The 18,079-nt window shown below is 54.5% G+C and overlaps 1 protein-coding gene across 16 annotated transcripts, besides 12 other annotated features; it reads left to right on the top strand.

Moving 5' to 3' along the window:
- Nucleotides 582–741: a silencer, noted in NCBI's record as "silent region_4171". NCBI's record gives its function as "represses an Ori minimal core promoter by ATAC-STARR-seq in GM12878 lymphoblastoid cells {active_cell/tissue: GM12878}" and the evidence as "EXISTENCE:reporter gene assay evidence [ECO:0000049][PMID:35858748]".
- Nucleotides 759–17,840, top strand: IFFO1 (intermediate filament family orphan 1). Of its 16 annotated transcripts, none has more exons than NR_036467.2 (10): nt 759–1,544; nt 5,298–5,403; nt 5,800–5,860; nt 6,011–6,106; nt 6,905–7,045; nt 7,976–8,133; nt 8,256–8,376; nt 8,641–8,736; nt 15,159–15,289; nt 16,213–17,840. NR_036467.2 is itself a non-coding variant. In NM_001330325.2 (10 exons), exons 1-10 carry the CDS (start codon nt 772–774, stop codon nt 16,316–16,318), a joined length of 1,686 nt encoding a protein of 561 aa, NP_001317254.1. In that variant the 5' UTR covers nt 759–771; the 3' UTR covers nt 16,319–17,840. The 16 variants fall into 16 exon arrangements, 15 of the variants coding, with proteins under 15 accessions (NP_001317254.1, XP_006719038.1, NP_542768.2 ...); NM_001330325.2 differs by lacking the exon at nt 5,298–5,403 and adding an exon at nt 7,320–7,325 and having other exon boundaries at nt 8,644–8,736; XM_006718975.5 differs by lacking the exon at nt 5,298–5,403 and adding an exon at nt 7,320–7,325.
- Nucleotides 792–1,031: a silencer, noted in NCBI's record as "silent region_4170". NCBI's record gives its function as "represses an Ori minimal core promoter by ATAC-STARR-seq in GM12878 lymphoblastoid cells {active_cell/tissue: GM12878}" and the evidence as "EXISTENCE:reporter gene assay evidence [ECO:0000049][PMID:35858748]".
- Nucleotides 1,142–1,321: a silencer, noted in NCBI's record as "silent region_4169". NCBI's record gives its function as "represses an Ori minimal core promoter by ATAC-STARR-seq in GM12878 lymphoblastoid cells {active_cell/tissue: GM12878}" and the evidence as "EXISTENCE:reporter gene assay evidence [ECO:0000049][PMID:35858748]".
- Nucleotides 1,782–2,282: an enhancer, noted in NCBI's record as "H3K4me1 hESC enhancer chr12:6663685-6664185 (GRCh37/hg19 assembly coordinates)". NCBI's record gives its function as "activates a minimal SCP1, AML or CMV promoter by ChIP-STARR-seq in naive H9 embryonic stem cells {active_cell/tissue: H9 hESC(naive)}" and the evidence as "EXISTENCE:reporter gene assay evidence [ECO:0000049][PMID:30033119]".
- Nucleotides 2,283–2,783: an enhancer, noted in NCBI's record as "H3K4me1 hESC enhancer chr12:6663184-6663684 (GRCh37/hg19 assembly coordinates)". NCBI's record gives its function as "activates a minimal SCP1, AML or CMV promoter by ChIP-STARR-seq in naive H9 embryonic stem cells {active_cell/tissue: H9 hESC(naive)}" and the evidence as "EXISTENCE:reporter gene assay evidence [ECO:0000049][PMID:30033119]".
- Nucleotides 4,415–4,932: an enhancer, noted in NCBI's record as "H3K4me1 hESC enhancer chr12:6661035-6661552 (GRCh37/hg19 assembly coordinates)". NCBI's record gives its function as "activates a minimal SCP1, AML or CMV promoter by ChIP-STARR-seq in primed H9 embryonic stem cells {active_cell/tissue: H9 hESC(primed)}" and the evidence as "EXISTENCE:reporter gene assay evidence [ECO:0000049][PMID:30033119]".
- Nucleotides 5,205–5,704: an enhancer, noted in NCBI's record as "H3K4me1 hESC enhancer chr12:6660263-6660762 (GRCh37/hg19 assembly coordinates)". NCBI's record gives its function as "activates a minimal SCP1, AML or CMV promoter by ChIP-STARR-seq in primed H9 embryonic stem cells {active_cell/tissue: H9 hESC(primed)}" and the evidence as "EXISTENCE:reporter gene assay evidence [ECO:0000049][PMID:30033119]".
- Nucleotides 6,384–6,884: an enhancer, noted in NCBI's record as "H3K4me1 hESC enhancer chr12:6659083-6659583 (GRCh37/hg19 assembly coordinates)". NCBI's record gives its function as "activates a minimal SCP1, AML or CMV promoter by ChIP-STARR-seq in naive H9 embryonic stem cells {active_cell/tissue: H9 hESC(naive)}" and the evidence as "EXISTENCE:reporter gene assay evidence [ECO:0000049][PMID:30033119]".
- Nucleotides 6,885–7,385: an enhancer, noted in NCBI's record as "H3K4me1 hESC enhancer chr12:6658582-6659082 (GRCh37/hg19 assembly coordinates)". NCBI's record gives its function as "activates a minimal SCP1, AML or CMV promoter by ChIP-STARR-seq in naive H9 embryonic stem cells {active_cell/tissue: H9 hESC(naive)}" and the evidence as "EXISTENCE:reporter gene assay evidence [ECO:0000049][PMID:30033119]".
- Nucleotides 15,922–16,061: an enhancer, noted in NCBI's record as "active region_5866". NCBI's record gives its function as "activates an Ori minimal core promoter by ATAC-STARR-seq in GM12878 lymphoblastoid cells {active_cell/tissue: GM12878}" and the evidence as "EXISTENCE:reporter gene assay evidence [ECO:0000049][PMID:35858748]".
- Nucleotides 16,092–16,241: an enhancer, noted in NCBI's record as "active region_5865". NCBI's record gives its function as "activates an Ori minimal core promoter by ATAC-STARR-seq in GM12878 lymphoblastoid cells {active_cell/tissue: GM12878}" and the evidence as "EXISTENCE:reporter gene assay evidence [ECO:0000049][PMID:35858748]".
- Nucleotides 17,022–17,231: an enhancer, noted in NCBI's record as "active region_5864". NCBI's record gives its function as "activates an Ori minimal core promoter by ATAC-STARR-seq in GM12878 lymphoblastoid cells {active_cell/tissue: GM12878}" and the evidence as "EXISTENCE:reporter gene assay evidence [ECO:0000049][PMID:35858748]".

Here is an 18,079-nt window from a genome sequence, read left to right as displayed (position 1 = left end):
TGGGATCTTCTGAGGAGAGGGAATGGTTGGGTGCTACTGAGAAATAAGGTCAGTTTTAGGCTCCTGCATCCTTGGGTTTTCCCAGGAAGGGAAAGCCCTGGAGTCAGAGCTAGGGGTGATTGAACTCCGGGGAGAGGAGGGCAATAGAAGTGTAGGGGAAGGCGGGGCACACTAGCTCATGCCTGTAATCCCAGCACTTTCTGGGAGGCCAAGGCGGGTGGATCACCTGAGGTCAGGTGTTCGAGACCAGCCTGGCTAACATGGCGAAACCTCGTCTCTACTAAAAATACAAAAAATCAGCCGGGTGTGGTGGCGGGTGCCTGTAATCCCAGCTACTCGGGAGACTGAAGCAGGAGAATCGCTTGAACCTGGGAGGCTGAGGTTGCAGTGAGCCAAGATCGCGCCACTGCACTCCAGCCCGGGCGACAGTGAGACTCGGTCTCAAAAAAAAAAAAAGTCGTGTAGGGGAGATGGGCTTGCCACCAGAACCCATGGGGTACTGGAGGTCCTGGGCTTTACGCCACCCCGGCTGGAGTCCAGGCGGTGGCTCCCCTCATCACAGGGCTCGGCCTCAGACCCGGAAAGGTCCAGGGTCCGGCCTCCAATTGGAGCCTGTCATTGGCTTCCCCTCGGCCCGCCCCCTGACCTCTGCCCCGCTGCCGAGCCGCCTGATTGGTCGGCTCTGTCCCGCCGGCGCCGCATTGGCTCTTCTGGCTCGCCTTCCATCCCTGCTCCTGCACCGGTCTGCATCTCCCAGCAGAAGGCGCAGCCATGAATCCGTTATTCGGCCCCAACCTCTTCCTCCTGCAGCAGGAGCAGCAGGGCCTGGCCGGGCCACTGGGGGACTCACTGGGAGGCGACCACTTCGCCGGGGGAGGAGACTTGCCCCCGGCGCCTCTCTCGCCGGCCGGCCCTGCTGCCTACTCGCCGCCCGGGCCGGGCCCGGCCCCGCCTGCCGCCATGGCCCTCCGCAATGACCTGGGCTCCAACATCAACGTGCTCAAGACCCTGAACCTCCGGTTCCGCTGCTTCCTGGCCAAGGTGCATGAGCTGGAGCGCCGGAACCGGCTGTTGGAGAAGCAACTGCAGCAAGCGCTGGAGGAGGGTAAGCAGGGCCGGCGGGGCCTGGGTCGTCGCGACCAGGCAGTGCAGACCGGCTTCGTCAGCCCCATCCGGCCCCTGGGGCTGCAGCTGGGCGCCCGGCCGGCCGCTGTCTGCAGCCCTTCGGCGCGCGTGCTGGGCTCGCCCGCGCGCTCCCCGGCCGGCCCCCTCGCGCCCTCCGCGGCCAGCCTCTCGTCGTCCTCCACCTCCACCTCCACCACCTATTCCTCGTCGGCCCGCTTCATGCCCGGCACCATCTGGTCGTTCTCGCACGCCCGCCGGCTCGGGCCGGGACTGGAGCCCACTCTGGTGCAAGGGCCTGGCTTGTCGTGGGTGCACCCGGATGGGGTGGGCGTCCAGATCGACACCATCACGCCCGAGATCCGCGCTCTCTACAACGTGCTGGCCAAAGTGAAGCGGGAGCGGGACGAGTACAAGCGGAGGTAGGGATTGGGAAAGGGGGACAGGTCTCTCTGTGTCATACCACTCACAACGGGCCGCGAGTTGGTGTGGGTTCCGAAGAATCAGGGGTGAAAAGAATGAGAGTAAAGTTTGTGCTGTGTAATGAGGAGCTTGGAAGCAATTGGATGCAGGGAGACTAGAATCCGCAGAGAATGCAGAAGCCCTGCTCGTGACAGGAAGAAGGACGCTGGGAGCGGAACACGGGGGGATTCCTACTTTTCCGGCTTGTCTCTGCCATCCAGGCTTAACTGCGGGTTTTGTGCGGTGTGAAAGGGACTGGGGCTCTGCCCTACCGGTCTCAGCCCTGGGGCAGGTTAGGGATATAAACTTCAAAAGTAGGAGGCAAGGATATAGCGTAAATTTGGGAGACTAAATTGAGTGAAACTGGAAGGGGCTGGTGAGGGAGGGGCTGTACCTTGCAACGAGTGATTCTTTCACACCCCAAGGTTTCCCAAAGAATATTGATGGAAACCAGGTACCTGCTGTGGTTTCATAGGAAAAGCTCCGGGACCTCAAGCCATTGCTTGAGTAGGTCAACAAACTGGGAAAAGAAAGAGTGAAGGGAATTCACTAGGGTGAGGGTGGAGAGCAGGGCTGACAGGGGAATCTTGGCAGTATAAAGCGCCAGTGGGGAGGGAGAGTGGAGAGCCAGCAGGGGACTGAGCAGGGAGAAGCTGGGATATGGGCCCTCCCTAGGACCGCGAGGCCGCGGGGCGGGCCCGGTGCATTCTGTGGATGAAGATTTGGCTGTCTGAGAGGAGCCCGGCCCCAAGGGGCAAGGGAAAGGGATGTGATGCCAGGAGTGCTGGCTGTATACCAAGTGGATTCCTTAGATGGCTGATAACCAAGCCGATAGGACAGGAGTGAGAGCAGAGGTAGTGTCTTGCAGACTCCAACCCAAGCCTTGAGGAGGGAGCGGGTGACTGACAGGCTTTGGTTTGGCGGCCTCCCCTCTCATCTCAGCTATTATGACCCCTTGTGGGCGGGCCTGGGAACTACCTATGCAGCCCAGTGTGGCGGAGATTCAGCACTGGGTGAGGATTGGCCGAATGTTCTAGGAAATGACCGCTGGGTCTAGGGGCGACCTTCAGGGATCTCCACCCTGCTGGAGTTTACCAGATCACAGATCAGCAGGCTTTCTTTTTTTTTTTTTCCCATAAATGATAATATTTTATTATAGAAAAAGCATCCCAAATACAGGATTTCGTAAACACTGGTAGGTGAACAAGTGCAATTTTAGAAGTAAATGCAAAGTAAAGAGGCAAAACCTACAAGCATTTTGCCTTCAGAAGAAGATGTAGTGTTCTCCTGCACTAGTGATCCCACCCAGAACACAAATGTGGCTCTGTCTCCCGTGAAAGCATCAGATTTGCTTTCTGAGCTCAGTATGCCCATTTCAATAATTGCAAAGTGATGGCAAGAAGTGGCGTTGAACACATGACTACAGACCCTTGACTTAAAATATTGAGACAGGGACTTGCTCTGTCATCCGGGCTGGAGTGCAGTAGCGTCATCACAGCTCACTGCAGCCTCATCCTCCTGGGCTCAAGCAATCATCCTGCCTCAGCCTCTTGAGTAGCTGGGACTACAGGTGTGCACTACCATGTCCATGCCTGGCTATTTTTTTTTTTTCTTTTTGCGTTGTCCAGGCCAGTCTCAAACTCCTGACCTGATCAGCAGGCTTTCTGAGCTTGAGTCCTGTCCTCGTGCTGGCTTCCTTAGTTGTGGTCCATGTTATGTGTCCTTGGGAGTTTCAGTTGTCCTGAAATCATCGTTCTGCCACCCAGAACCAGCCTGCTCTGCCCCTGCAGGAGTTAACTACGCGCTCAGCAGTGGCACAGGCACAGTTCTGGAATACATCCATAACCACAGGAACAACTGCTGTTCTCAGGAGCATTTTTTTTTTAAACTGAAGGAGCGTTTGTCCTTGGTCCAGCTGTCCAGGACAGGAAGGAGTTATTCCTTGGGGACTGATTAGCTCATCGCTCTGCAGCACGCTGCTGTGTAGAGAGCCTTAGCTGGATTCGGATGGTGCGTGATACTGGCAGTGACTCTTCTTCCTCCCTAGATTCCCTGCCCTCATTCTGGTCTCTTTATAGCAACACTGTAACTCCTGTCTTCTGCCTGGAAGGCCTGGGATGGCTTGAGCGCTACACTGGGAGGTAGCTAAAGGCCTCCTGCGTTCTATTTTCAGCTCCCCTGCCTTGTGCGTGACCTTTTTTTGAGCCCCCATTTTCCCAACATAGGAATGGTCCCTGCTTTCTCTCTTCAACCCAGGGATACAGTTTTTTGGAAGAGAGATATTTGGTCCATGCAGAACACATGGATATCGCTCTCAAATTCTGCCCATGTTAAGGGAACCTTATAAGTGAGACCAGATGGAAATGGAGGTGAAAATGAACCTGTCTGTGTGAAGTCTGGCCAAAGAACAAATAGAACTGTAGTGGGCTTCCAGATGATTCATTTGTAGATTTTTTTTACCCTGTAAGATTTCCTTAGGCTTAACCTTTAGCTATAACTGCCTTACTTAAGTTTCTTCCAGGCTCTGTTGAGCTCACTGTCAGATAGCCCCTCCTGCCCTCTTTCACACATCTTGTCCAGGGTTAGCGTGCCCTTGACAGGCTTACTGTCTCCCTCCAGGGACTCGTGGGCTCCCGGCGCATGAGGGCACCACAGTTCATGCCTTCACATCATAGATGAAGAAACCAAGACCCAGAAAAGATAAGGGTCTTAGCTAAGAAAACATAATCTGATGCGACTGGTTCCCTTAGTGGCCTGACTGTATGCATGAGAATGCCAGGGAGGAGGGGAGAAGCACCTACGGGACACACAGGGAAGGGGGCTGGGAGCCAGGAAGGCTGGGAGCTGGGCTGTGTGGGGAGCCAGCAGGGTGGTGGCTGGGCTGGCTGCCTCCTCCTGCTCTGCCCAGCAGGGAGGGGCAGTCGAGGTGATGTGGAGGAGTTATTATTAGGAATACTGCAGTGCGGCTGTGAATGAGGAGATGGGACCCAGAGGCTGACACAGGAAGGAAGATGGAGGGAAGGGGAAGAAAGGGCTTCACCCAAGGCTTCAGAAGCTGCCCACTCAGATTTTAATTTTCTTGCTGTCTTCTTGGCCCCTTCCTAACCACCTTTCTTGTGTTGAAGTTTCTCTCTTGGTGCAGTTCCCCTCCCTTCTCGGGTTGACAGAAGTGATGAGCTCACAGGAACAGGATTTGAGATGTGCTGCTACGCCAGCTAGACTGCAGGGCCCTGGAATGCCGGGCGGGTCCTAAGCAGCACGTTGCCCTGGCTTCCATCTCTGTGATGGAATAGAATATGCACTGCCTGCCATGGCTGATGAGACATGACAAAGCTGGCTCTGGGAAGCATGCCCTACCTAGGACCCTGCCCTGTGGCCCAGGGTGTCGTCCGGCCCACTTGCAGTCTTAATCTCTGAATTCTGGGCCCTGGAACAGGCTGTGTCTAGTTCTCATTTGCCGTACTCACCGGGCCCCTTTACATACTCTACTTTCTCTTTCCCTCTGGGTTTGAGTGCTAGTAACCCCAGGCTCGTGTGTCCACTGCTGTCATGCTGCTGTGGGACTTCCGGCCTCTGAGCCAGTCTGGTCACCTCTCTGTGACTCCCTTAGAGGAGGCTCTGGGTGGGTAGTTTCTGGAGCTAGTGGGGAAGGACTTTGAGTGTCTCCTACCAGGCTCTTGACCCACTCTGTTGATACACTATGTGTCCTGCAGATGCTTTTACAGGGTTAAATGATACCACAAGAGGCAGGGCAGCGGGCTCGACGAGCTCTGTTCTGGTGCGGGCAGGAGGCGGGAGCCCGGATCTGTGCGACTGAAGGTGGGAGACTGGGCCGGGTGGACCTGGTGGTCTGGTGTGGGCAGGAGGTGGGCAATGAGGCCAGCCGGACAGCTGGCTGAGCTGGGGCCTGAGCAGGGATGGGCATCACGGAGGACCGGAGCCTCAGCACTTGCCCAAACAGAGCTCCTGGTGCACAGCCCGGAGGTTCCGGGAAGGCAGCTGGCGAGCTCGACGCCCATCAGGAAGCACAGAGCCGCGTGACAGCTGCAGTTGGTCACCAGCTGGCTGGCCAGGCATTCCTGTGCCCTGCTCCTCCCCATCCAGGGAACCAGAACTGGGGTCTGAGGCCTGAGCCAGAGAGGTGGGGACAGGGAGCCATGGGGGCAGGGAAGGACTCTGTACCTAAGCTCTCTCCGCCCTTCCCATGTCTGTCAGGTGGGAAGAGGAGTACACGGTGCGGATCCAGCTGCAAGACCGTGTAAATGAGCTCCAGGAGGTGAGGGTGGCGCCCCACTTGCTGCTGGTGCTTCCCTGGGTACCCCTGTCTGCCCATGACCCTGCTGCCGTCTCCCTGTCCCTCCTTGGCATCTTTATCTTCCTCCCACCTCGGCAGTGCCACCAACATCAGGGTTTCTCCCAACTGCAGGAAGCCCAGGAGGCTGATGCCTGCCAGGAGGAGCTGGCACTGAAGGTGGAACAGTTGAAGGCTGAGCTGGTGGTCTTCAAGGGGCTCATGAGTAACGTGAGTGCAGCCCCAGGCTTCCCGAGGGTCGAAGTGAGGCTTCTGAGGCCAGAAGAGTAGGCCCTTCTAGTGTTGGCCTGTTGGCCTCCCGTCCACGGCTCCTCCCCTTCTCTTTGCTTTCCTTCCCTTTTTCCCCTAGCCACCCCTAACTCCAGAGAAAGACAAGCAACAAAAGTCTCGGTGTTGCGTCACAGAGGTGGCGCAGCTTCTGAGGGCCTGGGGTTGCAGAGCAGTTAGTGAGCAGCTTCTGGGGTGGAGGCTCTGCAGCTGGCGCCGGGGCGCTGGGCCGATTCCTCAGCCTCTGAGGCCTCACCTTTGGCGTGGGGAAATAAACGCGTGCGCTCTGCAGGAGTATTGTGAGGGTGGTCATGTACTCGGGACAGTGCCCAGCATGCAGTGTTAGCTGGAAGAGTGTTAGCTGTTGCGATTATTATAGTCCTTTCTCCACTCTTATAATTCCCAGGAGTCTCTTTCTCTCTGGGAATGTAAGTTCTAGGAGGATGAGGACCGCTAGTCGTTCCAGTGAGCCCCCTGCATGTCCCAGGCACTGGCCATGCCCTCCAGGGCTTCCGTTTGGCCAGGGAGCAGTGGCCCGAGCCGCCCCATGCCCAGCATATTCACACAGTGCTGTGGGGAGGCCACCGCTACCCAGGAAGAGGGGTGCAGTCAGCTCAGGGAGACTCCACAGAAGAGGCACCGGTGCAATGTGGTGGGAAGGATGAGGACCTTGCCAGGCCTAATTCGTCCTTGTCTGGAGAACTGGGCGCCTCCTCACTGTTCCCTGGGCTCCCTGGACAGAACCTGTCGGAGCTGGACACCAAGATCCAGGAGAAAGCCATGAAGGTGGATATGGACATCTGCCGCCGCATCGACATCACCGCCAAGCTCTGCGATGTGGCTCAGCAGCGCAACTGCGAGGACATGATCCAGATGTTCCAGGTGAGGACGGAGCTGCCCTCTGCTCTCAGGGGTGGGTGGGGCAGGTGGATGCTTCCGTGGCGGCTGGCCTGGAACGCAGGCCCTGCCTCCTGCTTGGGGAGCCTTACCTGGCAACTGGGGCCCTCACGGGGCTAGACTGGGGGGTAAGGAGCAGCATCAGGAGGGGCATCGTGGAAGCTGTCTCTAACGCCGTCTCTCCCTTCCCCCTCTCTCTCCTCTGTCTGCTTCCTCTCCTCTCTTCCTCTCATCTTCTCTCTTGCTTCCTCCACAGAAGAAGCTGGTTAGTTTGATCTCACGCAAGCTTATTAATGTCCCAGTCCCAGTTTCTAAGCTGCCTAGGCCTCCTGGCCCTCAGTTTGGGCCCGCTGGGCTCTTGAGCACGGATTTTTTTCTGCCCTTTCCCTTTTCCTTGCTCTTCCCCCTTTTTCTCTCTATCTCTTGTTCTCTTGACTGCATTTCTTTCTCTCCCTTCTCCCCCGGCTTTCCAGATCTGGATGTGATTCAGGTTCTCTTTTGTACACATTGCACACTCATCCTCCTTGCGTCCTAAAGCTTTTTTTTTTTTAGTTGAGTCATTTAATCAAAAAGACTTTTTTTAGAAAAAAATTTCCTCTTGAGCCATCATGCACATCTGACTGCAGCCCCAGCGAGCCCTTCCTTCCTTGTCTGACTGCTCTTCTTCTCGATTTCTTCTTGTTCTGCCTTCTCGGTTTGCAGCCCTGACCCCCGCTGTGTGTCTGGCCCTTGGTGACTGTCCGTGTTTCTGTTCCTGTCATTGTAACTGTGACTTTTCTCTCTGTCTGCCCCCCCTTCCTACTGGTTCATGCTTCTCCCCCATTCCCACCCTCTCTGCCCGGCCTCCCGCTCCCGCCCTTTCTCCTCATGCACCCGGCCTCGTCTCTGTAGTCTCTGCACTTGTCTCCCATTAAGGTCCCATCCATGGGGGGGCGGAAGCGGGAGCGCAAGGCTGCCGTCGAGGAGGACACCTCCCTGTCGGAGAGTGAGGGGCCCCGCCAGCCCGATGGGGATGAGGAGGAGAGCACAGCCCTCAGCATCAACGAGGAGATGCAGCGCATGCTCAACCAGCTGTGAGTCCGCAGGCCGTGCTCCCGCAGCACCGACGCCACAGCAGCCCAGGAGGCCGGAGCTCCCCAGTCCCCCGCCAGGACGAGGCCCCGCCCGCCCTGACACCCGGGTTCCCTGTCTCTAGGAGGGAGTATGATTTTGAGGACGACTGTGACAGCCTGACTTGGGAGGAGACTGAGGAGACCCTGCTGCTTTGGGAGGATTTCTCAGGCTATGCCATGGCAGCTGCAGAGGCCCAGGGAGAGGTAACCTCTGCTCCCGGCCTCAGGGCCCTCTGGCTCTGCCTCTCCAGCCTGAAGCCCACTCCCCCGCTCCTCTCCTTGCTCTGTCCCCCCATGTGGCTGTCATCCTCTACCTGCGTCTCCCCTCTTCCTTTATCCTTTTGCTTTTCTTTCTCCAGTTTCTTTAACCAGACTTCCTCTCTCTCTCTCTCCCTGACTTGGCCCTTTGGAATGCGTCCCATCCCATCCCTCCTTGGCTGGCCTCCCCCGCTTCCCTTTCTACTCCAGCAGCAGGAAGATAGCCTGGAGAAGGTGATTAAAGATACGGAGTCCCTGTTCAAAACCCGGGAGAAGGAGTATCAGGAGACCATTGACCAGATAGAGGTAAGGGCAGGAGCGGAAGCCAGGGGCGTGGTGTCCCAGAGGGTTTTGAGTGGGGCTGCAGGCGCAGTGGCCTCATCCCTGCTGCAGGACCCTAGAGACCAAGGTCTTGGGAGGAGGAGTGATCTCTCAGCTATAGTCCTCCTGGTGGGCTCTGAAGACCTCAGGCTCTGGAAACAGACAGATATCGGTTCAAATCTCAGCTCTGTTACTTACAACCACCCTGAACTTGTAATAAGTTACTTGTTCCCTCTGAGCCCCTCCTTTCCTTTCCTTTCCTTTCCTTTCTTTCCTTCCTTCCTTCCTTCCTTTCTCTCTCTCTCTCTCTTCCCCTCCCCCTCTATCCCTCCCTCCCTCTCTCCCTTGTCTTTCTGTCCTTTCTTTTTTGAGACAAGGTCTCACTCTGTTTCACTCTGTTGCCTAGGCTGGAGTGATCCTCCCACCCCAGCCTTCTGAGTAGCTGGGCCCACAGGTGTGTGCCACCATACCCAGCTAATTTTTATTTGTATTTTTTTGTAGAGATGGTGTCTCCCTGTGTTTCCCAGGCAGGTCTTAAACTCTTGGGCTTAAGTGATCCTCCTGCCTCGGCCTCCCAAAGTACTAGAATTAGAGACATGAGCCATGTGTCCAGCCCTACACCTGTTTCTTTTTCTTTCTTTCTTTCTTTCTTTCTTTTTTTGAGACAGGGTCTTGCTCTGTCACTCCAGGCCCACTGCAGCCGTGATCTTCTGGATCCAAGCAATCCTCCTACCTCAGCCTCCCAAGTAGCTGGGACCACAGGCGTGTGCTACCACGCCCGGCTAATTTTTTGATTTTTTTTACAGAGAACAGGGTGTCACTATGTTTTCCAGGCTGCCCTCAAACTTCTGGATTCAAGCAGTCCTCCTAACTCGGCCCCACAAAGTGTTGGGATTACAGGCATGAGCCACTGTGCCGGGCCTTTTTATTTGTAAAATGAGGAATTTAATAATACCTCACCTATAGGGTTGTTTAGAAGATCAGATGAAATAATGCATATATAGAGCTTAGGGCAGTGTCTGGCTCATAGCGAGTGTAGCATAGTGGGGACTGTTTTATTATTATTAACACTATCAGTGCCATGGCACTCAGAGATGGACTGGGACTTTCCTGTTTCTTCCACTCAGCCTTTGAGATAACAGAGAAATCTCCATGCTTTTTCCCAAGCCTTGAAGTACCTTCTAGAGGTACCTAGAGGCAAGTGGAGCTGGTGCTTTAGCTCAAACTCTAGGCTTTAGGAGCTGCAAGAAGGATTTGTGGAGGCCGGGCGCGGTGGCTCACGCCTGTAATCCCAGCACTTTGGGAGGCCGAGGCGGGAAGATCACGAGGTCAGGAGATCGAGACCATCCTGGCTAACACGGTGAAACCCCGTCTCTACGAAAAATACAAAAAAAAAAAATTAGCTGGCCGTGGTGGCAGGCACCTGTAGTCCCAGCTACTCGGGAGGCTGAGGCAGGAGAATGGCGTGAACCCGGGAGGCGGAGCTTGCAGTGAGCCGAGATCGCACCACTGCACTCCAGCCTGGGCGACAGAGCAAGACTCCGTCTCAAAAATACAAACAAAGGAAGAAGGATTTGTGGAACCACAGAATGGAGGTTGCTGTTGCTGTGGGAGGAGGGATGGACGGGACCCCCGTGAGCTCTCCTGGCCTGGTGAGGTGGTCCTTTCCCGACGCTCTGACTTTGGGAGAGGCATGGAGCCTTCTCTGCGTCTCAGCCTCTCTTCAGGCCCACATGGGAGATTCATACGTAGTCCCCCCTTATCTTCAGGGCATGTGTTCCAAGACCCACAGTGGATGCCTGAAACCAAAGATAGCACTGACCTCCTGATAGCTTGGGTCCAGTTGCTGTCAACTGGAACGTGTTTCTGTTCATGTCTCCCACCCACACATTCAATGCCTTTTCTATCTTAACTAAGCACTTAGCGTGCGCTGTGGCGGTACCTTTTGCAGTTCGAGGTGTGACAGCAAAACTGGCACAAATTTCTTTTTCCTTCTTTACAATTTCACGGATAGAAGATTCATTCTTACTGTAGAGCTTACCAACCTCAGCATCGGATTCTTTTTCTTATTAAGTTGAAAACTTTTACCTTTTCACTTAAAGGGAGCATATTTTGGCTTCTCTTTCACATATCCAAATTGCCAGCATCACTACTCTTGTGCTTTGGGGCCATTATGAAGTAAAAATAAGGGTTCCTTGAACACGGGCACTGCCATACCACGACAGTCAATCTCATCACTGAGATGGCTCCTAAGTAACTAATGGGCAGGCAGTATAGACAGTGTGGATCCTTGGGACAGAGGGAGGGTTCATGTCCTGGTCTGGATAGAGTGAGGTTTTTTTTTTTTTTTCCGAGACGGAGTCTCGCTGTGTCACCCAGGCTGGAGTGCAGTGGCTTGAACTCGGCTCACTGCAAGCTCCACCTCCTGGGTTCACGCCATTCTCCTGCCTCAGCCTCCTGAGTAGCTGGGACTACAGGCGCCCGCCATCACGCCCGGCTAATTTCTTTTGTATTTTTTAGTAGAGATGGGGTTTCACCGTGTTAGCCAGGATGATCTCGATCTCCTGACCTCATGATCCGCCCACCTCGGCCTCCCAAAGTGCTGGGATTATAGGCGTGAGCCACCGCGCCCGGCAGAGAGAGTGAGATTTTATCAGGCCACTCAGAACAGCGTGCAATTTAAAACTTAGGAATTGTTTATTTCTGGAATATTTCATTTAATATTTTCAGATCAAGGTTCACCTTGGGTACCTGAAGCCGTGGAAAGTGAAACCAGTGGATAAGGAGAGAGTGACTTTATTCTTTTCATTTATTTATTTATTTATTTATTTTTTTGAGACGTAGTCTCGCTGTGTCGCCCAGGCTGGAGTGCAGTGGCGCGATCTCAGCTCACTGCAAGCTCCACCTCCCAGGTTCACGCCATTCTCCTGCCTCAGCCTCCAGAGTAGCTGGGACTACAGGCGCCTGCCACTACGCCCGGCTAATTTTTTGTATTTTTTAGTAGAGACGGGGTTTCACCATGTTAGCCAGGATGGTCTCGATCTCCTGACCTCGTGATCCACCCGCCTCGGCCTTCCAAAGTGCTGGGATTACAGGCGTGAGCCACCGCGCCCGGCCTTGACTTTATTCTTATTGCTGTCACATTGGAGGTGTTTGAGAAGGAAGTCGAGAAATTATTTTCCTATATACTCATTCTCCCAACACACATCAAACTGTCCTGCTCCTGCATCAAACCTGGTTTTCTTGGCCAGGTAGATGAGGTTTCCTGGATTTGTGCTGCTAGCTAAAGACATGGCAAGGGAAACCAGTACTCCCCACCCTCCCGTCTACCGCGGCTCACTGTTTCCTCCTCCTGCCTGACCTGATTCTTGTCTCCCTCTTTTGGATGGTGGATTTAAGGTTTGTGTTTTCACTGTGCCTTCAACCAACTAGGGGCCTTTGTGCGGCCATCTTCGTGAGAAGAGATCTCGGGCTGCCATCTCTCCCTAGTCTTCCCTGGACCTCAAGTGCCCAGTGTAAAACATGATCTGAAAGAACGAAAATAATATCTTAAATGGAATCATGCCTTTTAAGCTATTTTTGGCTGGGCGTGGTGGCTCTCGCCTGTAATCCCAGCACTTTGGGAGGCCAACGCGGGCAGATCACTTGAGGTCAGGAGTGTGAGACCAGCCTGGCCACCAACATGTGAAACCCCGTCTCTACTAAAAATACAAAAAGTAGCCAGGCATTGTGGTGGGCACCTGTAATCCCAGCTACTTGGGAGGCTGAGGCAGGAGAATTGCTGGAATCTGGGAGGTGGAGGCTGCAGTGAGCTGAGATTGTGCCACTGCACCACAGCCTGGGTGACAGAGCAAGATTCCATCTCAGGAAAAAAAAAAAAAAAAGTATTTTCAAATCATCTGACTCCTCCTCTCTCCCAGTGCAATGACTTTAGGCAGCAGTCCCCAACCTTTTTGGTACCAGGGACTGGTTTGTGGAAGACAGTTTTTCCACTGACCCGGGGGAAATGATTTTGAGATGATTCAAACATTACATTTATTGTGTACTTTATTACTATTTTTAAAAATTATTATTATTATTTTTAGAGACAGAGTTTTGCTCTTGTTGCCCAGGCTGGAGTGCAATGGCGCAATCTTGGCTCACTGCAGCCTCCGCCTCCCGGGCTCAAGCAATTCTCCTGCCTCAGCCTCCCAAGTAGCTGGGATTACGGGCATGTGCCACCACGCCTGGCTAATTTTGTATTTTTAGTAGAGATGGGGTTTCTCCATGTTGGTCAAGCTGGTCTCGAACTCCCGACCTCAGGTGATCCACCACCTCGGCCTCCCAAAGTGCTGGGATTACAGGCATGAGCCACCGCACCCGGCCTGTGCACTTTATTTCTATTATTATTACATTATAATATATAATGAAATAATTATACATCTCACCATAATGTAGAATCAGTGGGAGCCATGAACTTGTTTTCCGCAACTAGACGGTCCCATCTGGGGGTGATGGGAGATAGTGACAGATCATCAGGCATTAGATTCTCATAAGGAGCACACAGCCTAGATCCCTCGCATGCACAGTTCACGTAAGGTAGGGTTCAGGATCCTGTGAGAATCTAATGCCGCCGCGGATCTGACAGGAGGTGGAGCTCAGGCTGTAATGCCAGTGATGGGGAGCAGCTGTAAATACAGATGAAGCTTCACTCACTTGCCCACTGCTCACCTCCTGCTATTTGGCCTGGTTCCTAACAGGCCACAGACAGGTACTGGTCCGTGGCCTGGGGTTTGGGGACTTCTGCATTAGGGGAACCGTTAGGAGGACTTGCTGACCTCAGGAGTACCCAAGGTGCCTTTATCTTTGTGACCTTTGATCTCTCAGGGTCACTAAGATGGAGCAAGGTAAAGCCAAGGCCCAGAGTGGTGGGCGGGAGGCAGTTCTTCCCCACCGCTCCTCACCTCTCTCTGTCTCCTCCCGTCCCACCCCCAAGTCTGTTCACACAGCGAGCCTGCAGTTTTCAAGGTGGCTTGTCAAGGACATCTCCTGACATGCACGTTCACCTCCTGACCTTGTTCCTGCTGTAAATTTGTGAATTAAGTGGGGACATAGACATATGCAGAGACTACTGGTGGCAGTACTAGCCTTGTATTTCAGTAGAATATATTTGGTTCATTTCCTTCTTCCCAGTCTCCCTGAGTGATGGTTCCAGAACCCAGCTCCCTGCACTCCGGTTCTTCCAAGGTGGAGAAATTGGGGTGTAGGCAGCTGATCTGAACAAGGGCTGGTGGCACTGTATTTTCCCCCTGGGTTGAACAGTCACCGTGTCCTGCTCCTCCCACTACTGTGGGGCCCCAGCTGTGGATCCAAGCCTGCCAGGGAAGCTGTCCCCACTAGGGCTTCTCACCCAGCCAGCCGCCATCTCACCCCAAATGTCACTGTCCTGACCATCTCTGCTGTCTGGCCCTGTAACCTGTTTCCTTCTTTCTCTAAGTTCCCACCCTCTCTGTCCAATCCACATTATGGCAGCTGGTATCCTCCCCGTTCTCTTCACTCAGGCAGTCACGAACGTCATCTCCAGGAAGTTTCATTTTGCTTCCCCTTGCGGCCCCTGCCCTTTGTACCCAAAACAAAGAGAGGCAGTCGACTGTCCCTGGCACTGAGTTTGTGCTGCCTGGGCCCTGCCTCTCCGCCTGCCTCAGAGTGTGGGCTGCAGAATGGGCCCGGGGAGGGAGACCGGATTTCTTTGATTCTGAGCCCCGTGTTTTCCACGTGTGACATTTCTGAAATCAGGACAGGTCTCAGAATCAATGGCACCTCCAATATGGGAGTCTTCCTTTTAGTGTCTGAAAATGGCTTTTAGGTGAGAAAATAAAGTGATAAGGAGAGAATGGTAAGAGGATTGGGCCCCTTTCAGCAGTTAGCCAGGCTTGTATGCCACGGGTCACAGAGAGAGTTAATTCCCTTCGAGGTCTGGGTCTGCCAGGATGAGGAAAACCTGTCGCTAACCCTTACGGGAGCTCACAGTGCAGTGAGGGGACAGCCCAGGACCAGCGCAGTACAGGGGATGAGGGGTGAGCCGGGCCCCATAGGAACCTGTGTGGCCCTGGGAGCCTGTGGATCTGCTCCATCCCGCCCACACTGACTTTCCTCACCACTCTTATCAGTCTTAAAAGAACACAGCCTGCAGCAGTACCTTTGCATTCCTCCATAGGCAAAGATTTCCAGGAAAAGCAGAGGAAACAATGGTGTATTCGCTGCCTTCTGCCTTGGTCTGGTTTATTTTAAAATCTGAGCCTTCAGTAATGGCTGCCTGGGCCCCCGGCCCAGCCACTGCTCTTGGCGTGTTGGCCTCCTGGCGGGGGCAACAGAGGCGCTGTGAACGCCACCTGTTAACCCCGATGGCCCTGCCTGCCCCACCACAGCTGGAGTTGGCCACGGCCAAGAACGACATGAACCGGCACCTGCACGAGTACATGGAGATGTGCAGCATGAAGCGCGGCCTGGACGTGCAGATGGAGACCTGCCGCCGGCTCATCACCCAGTCTGGAGACCGGTAGGCGCCTCCCCTGGGCATGGGGCCTTCCAGGGGGACACAGCGGGGAGAAAGGTTGGAACACAGCCCCAGAGACCCTCAGGCAATGACTGGGTCACATCTTGCTGTGGGGCTGCCCTTTGGGAGTTACCTGGTGGGGCTGGCCCAGACCCACAGCTCTCTCCCTTGGCAGTTGGATGAGCTATGTCCATTCATGACGGGAGGGCTGAAACCTCCCAAGGCCACCAGCTCTGGTGGTTCCCCTGGTTAGAGGCAGTTTAAAAACTGGCAAGGAACAGAAGGGTTGTGGGGGCAGATTTTTATCTAAAGTCAGGGCCATGATTTGTGCATTTGACCCTGTGTAAGTTACACCGCAACAAGAAAGTGAATTTTTAAAAATCACAAAAATACTGCAGATAGACATAAAGCCAAGGCCCTAGAGTCAGGGTGCTGGAGGCTCAGCAGCTTCTCTCCTACTGTGACTTCAGCTATTTCTTTTTTTTTTTTTTTTGGCTCACTACAACCTCCGCCTCCCAGGTTCAAGTGATTATCTTGCCTCAGCCTCCAAGGCGCCCGCCACCACACCTGGCTAATTTTTGCATTTTTAGTAGAGATGGGGTTTCACCATGTTGGCCAGGCTTGCCTTGAACTCCTGACGTCGTGATCCACCCGCCTCTGCCTCCCAAAGTGCTGGAATTACAGGCGTGAGCCATCATGCCTGACCTCAGCCTCTGAGTTCCCAAGACACAGGCGGGGCCCATTTCCCTGTCAGGGTGGGTTTGGAGAGAGTTCAGTCCCTGCCGCTCCCTCGCCATCCCGCGGCCCCGCCCTCGCTTCCGGTACTTCTCACGGGCTGCCAGAGGGTGAGGCAGCAGGAGGAGGAGTGCCGTCCGTCTTCAGGATTCCTGCCTGCCCCAAGGTTGACAACTGGTGTTTTTTTCTAGAAAGTCTCCTGCTTTCACTGCGGTCCCGCTTAGCGACCCGCCGCCGCCGCCAAGCGAGGCTGAGGACTCCGATCGCGATGTCTCATCTGACAGCTCCATGAGATAGAGACCTGCCTCCCCCTTGCACCCGAGGCCCTCGCAGCAGGGAGCTCAGCGAGGCAGAGGGTGGGGCTGCACAGAGGGGAACATCAGCTGCAGCTCTGCACCAGGCCGGTCCCTGGGGACTGGGGCGCTCCTCCCTCAGGCTTTCTCCCTCAGTCTTGGCTTCTCCAGGGCTCTGGGGTGTCTGGAGCTAGGCTTGGCCCTACCATTCTGGGGCCATTTCCACCACAGTTGGGGCTCTCCTGCCTTCACGCGTGGGTGTCTGCTACTTCCCCATCTTTAAAATGCTGCCAGAGCGATTGCGGCCCCTCACCTTGTCCACGTATCAGGAATGTGAATGTGGGACCTTTCCTCCATCCCTGTTGTCCGGAGCCAGCTCACTGTCTTCCACACTGGTGCTAACTGGCCCAGGCACTGGAGTGGAATAGAATGCAGCTGGAGGCTACGCATGGCCTCTGCAGCACACGCAGCTGGAGAGGGCTTCTGTCCCTGTCAGCGGCAGAGGGCGTTGGGGCTGGCCGGGGCACCTTGTCCCTGCTATGGTCCACGTGCTCACGCTGTCCACCTGCCAGGTGGAGTGTATGTGGCTGTGGCCCTCCCTCGTGGAGGTGCCGTGCTTTAAAGAGGCCTTAGTGCCCGGGATGGGCACAGTGTTTTGAAGGGAGGTGGGAGCTCTTGCTCTCCTGGTCACTGCAGAATGACAGAGAAGGTGAAGCTCCATGCATGTGTGCGCGGGTGTATGTGCGCTCAGGGTCTCTGTTTAAGTATCAGCTAAAGATGTGCTTCCTCCGTGTCTGTCATACACTGAGACCAACAGGCTACAGTGTCCCTGATTCTTGGAAAAGCCTGGAGAAGCTGGGGAGATGCGGTTCACAATGCCTCGGTATAGGAGGCTGTGTTGAGCTGACATTCAAATGGATTCTTTAATAATAATGAAACTGGCGAGTATTTATTGTGCACTTTGGTGTCACTGTCTCAAGCACTTCCTAATATTCACTAGTTTGAACTCTGAGGTAGGTACTTTTTTTTTTTTTGAGATGGAGTCTCATACTCTGTTGCCTAGGCTGGAGTGCAGTGGTGTGGTCTCAGCTCACTGCAGCCTCTGCCTCCGGGGTGCAAGCGATTCTCCTGCTTCAGCATGCCTGTAGCTGGGACTATAGGCATGTGCCATGAAGCCTGGCTGATTTTTGTAATTTTAGTAGAGACGGAGTTTCACCATGTTGGCCAGGCTGGTCTCAAACTCCTGACCTCAGGTGATACACCCACCTTGGCCTCCCAAAGTGCTGGGGTTACAGGCGTGCGCGCTCTACCGAGGTATGTACTTTTGTCTCCACTAGGTAAGCACACGTGCAAAGTGAGGCCCGGGAGTAACTGCCCAAAGCAACTGAGCCGTTCAGTGGCAGAGCCAGGGGTCTGGACCTAGGTCCCAGCTACACGCCTTGCCCCTACCCAAGTTCCCCTAAGGACGATGATGGAAATAAGTCACCCTGACACATCTCAGTTCATCTTCCTCAAAACTATGCGAGGTGGGCATTTTTACCGATTTTTAAACATTATATAGTCCTTACCGCCTTGGGCATGGTTTTAGGTACTTGGTTTACCTAGATGAATCCTGCTTGAAGACCTTAGGGGCTGGCCACGATGTCCTCAGATAAGACACGAGGGCACAGAAAGCAATAGAGCACGTGCTCAAGACCTCACAGCTGCGGAGGCCAAGCTGGAATTGCCCGCTGCAGCTCAGCTCCAGGCTGAGCTCCACTAACCA

Source organism: Homo sapiens, chromosome 12 (assembly GCF_000001405.40).
Source record: "Homo sapiens chromosome 12, GRCh38.p14 Primary Assembly".
In the NCBI taxonomy this organism is placed as follows: Eukaryota; Metazoa; Chordata; class Mammalia; order Primates; family Hominidae; genus Homo; species Homo sapiens.
Note: the sequence above shows the minus strand (reverse complement) of the source record. Positions and strands in the feature narration are given on the sequence as shown.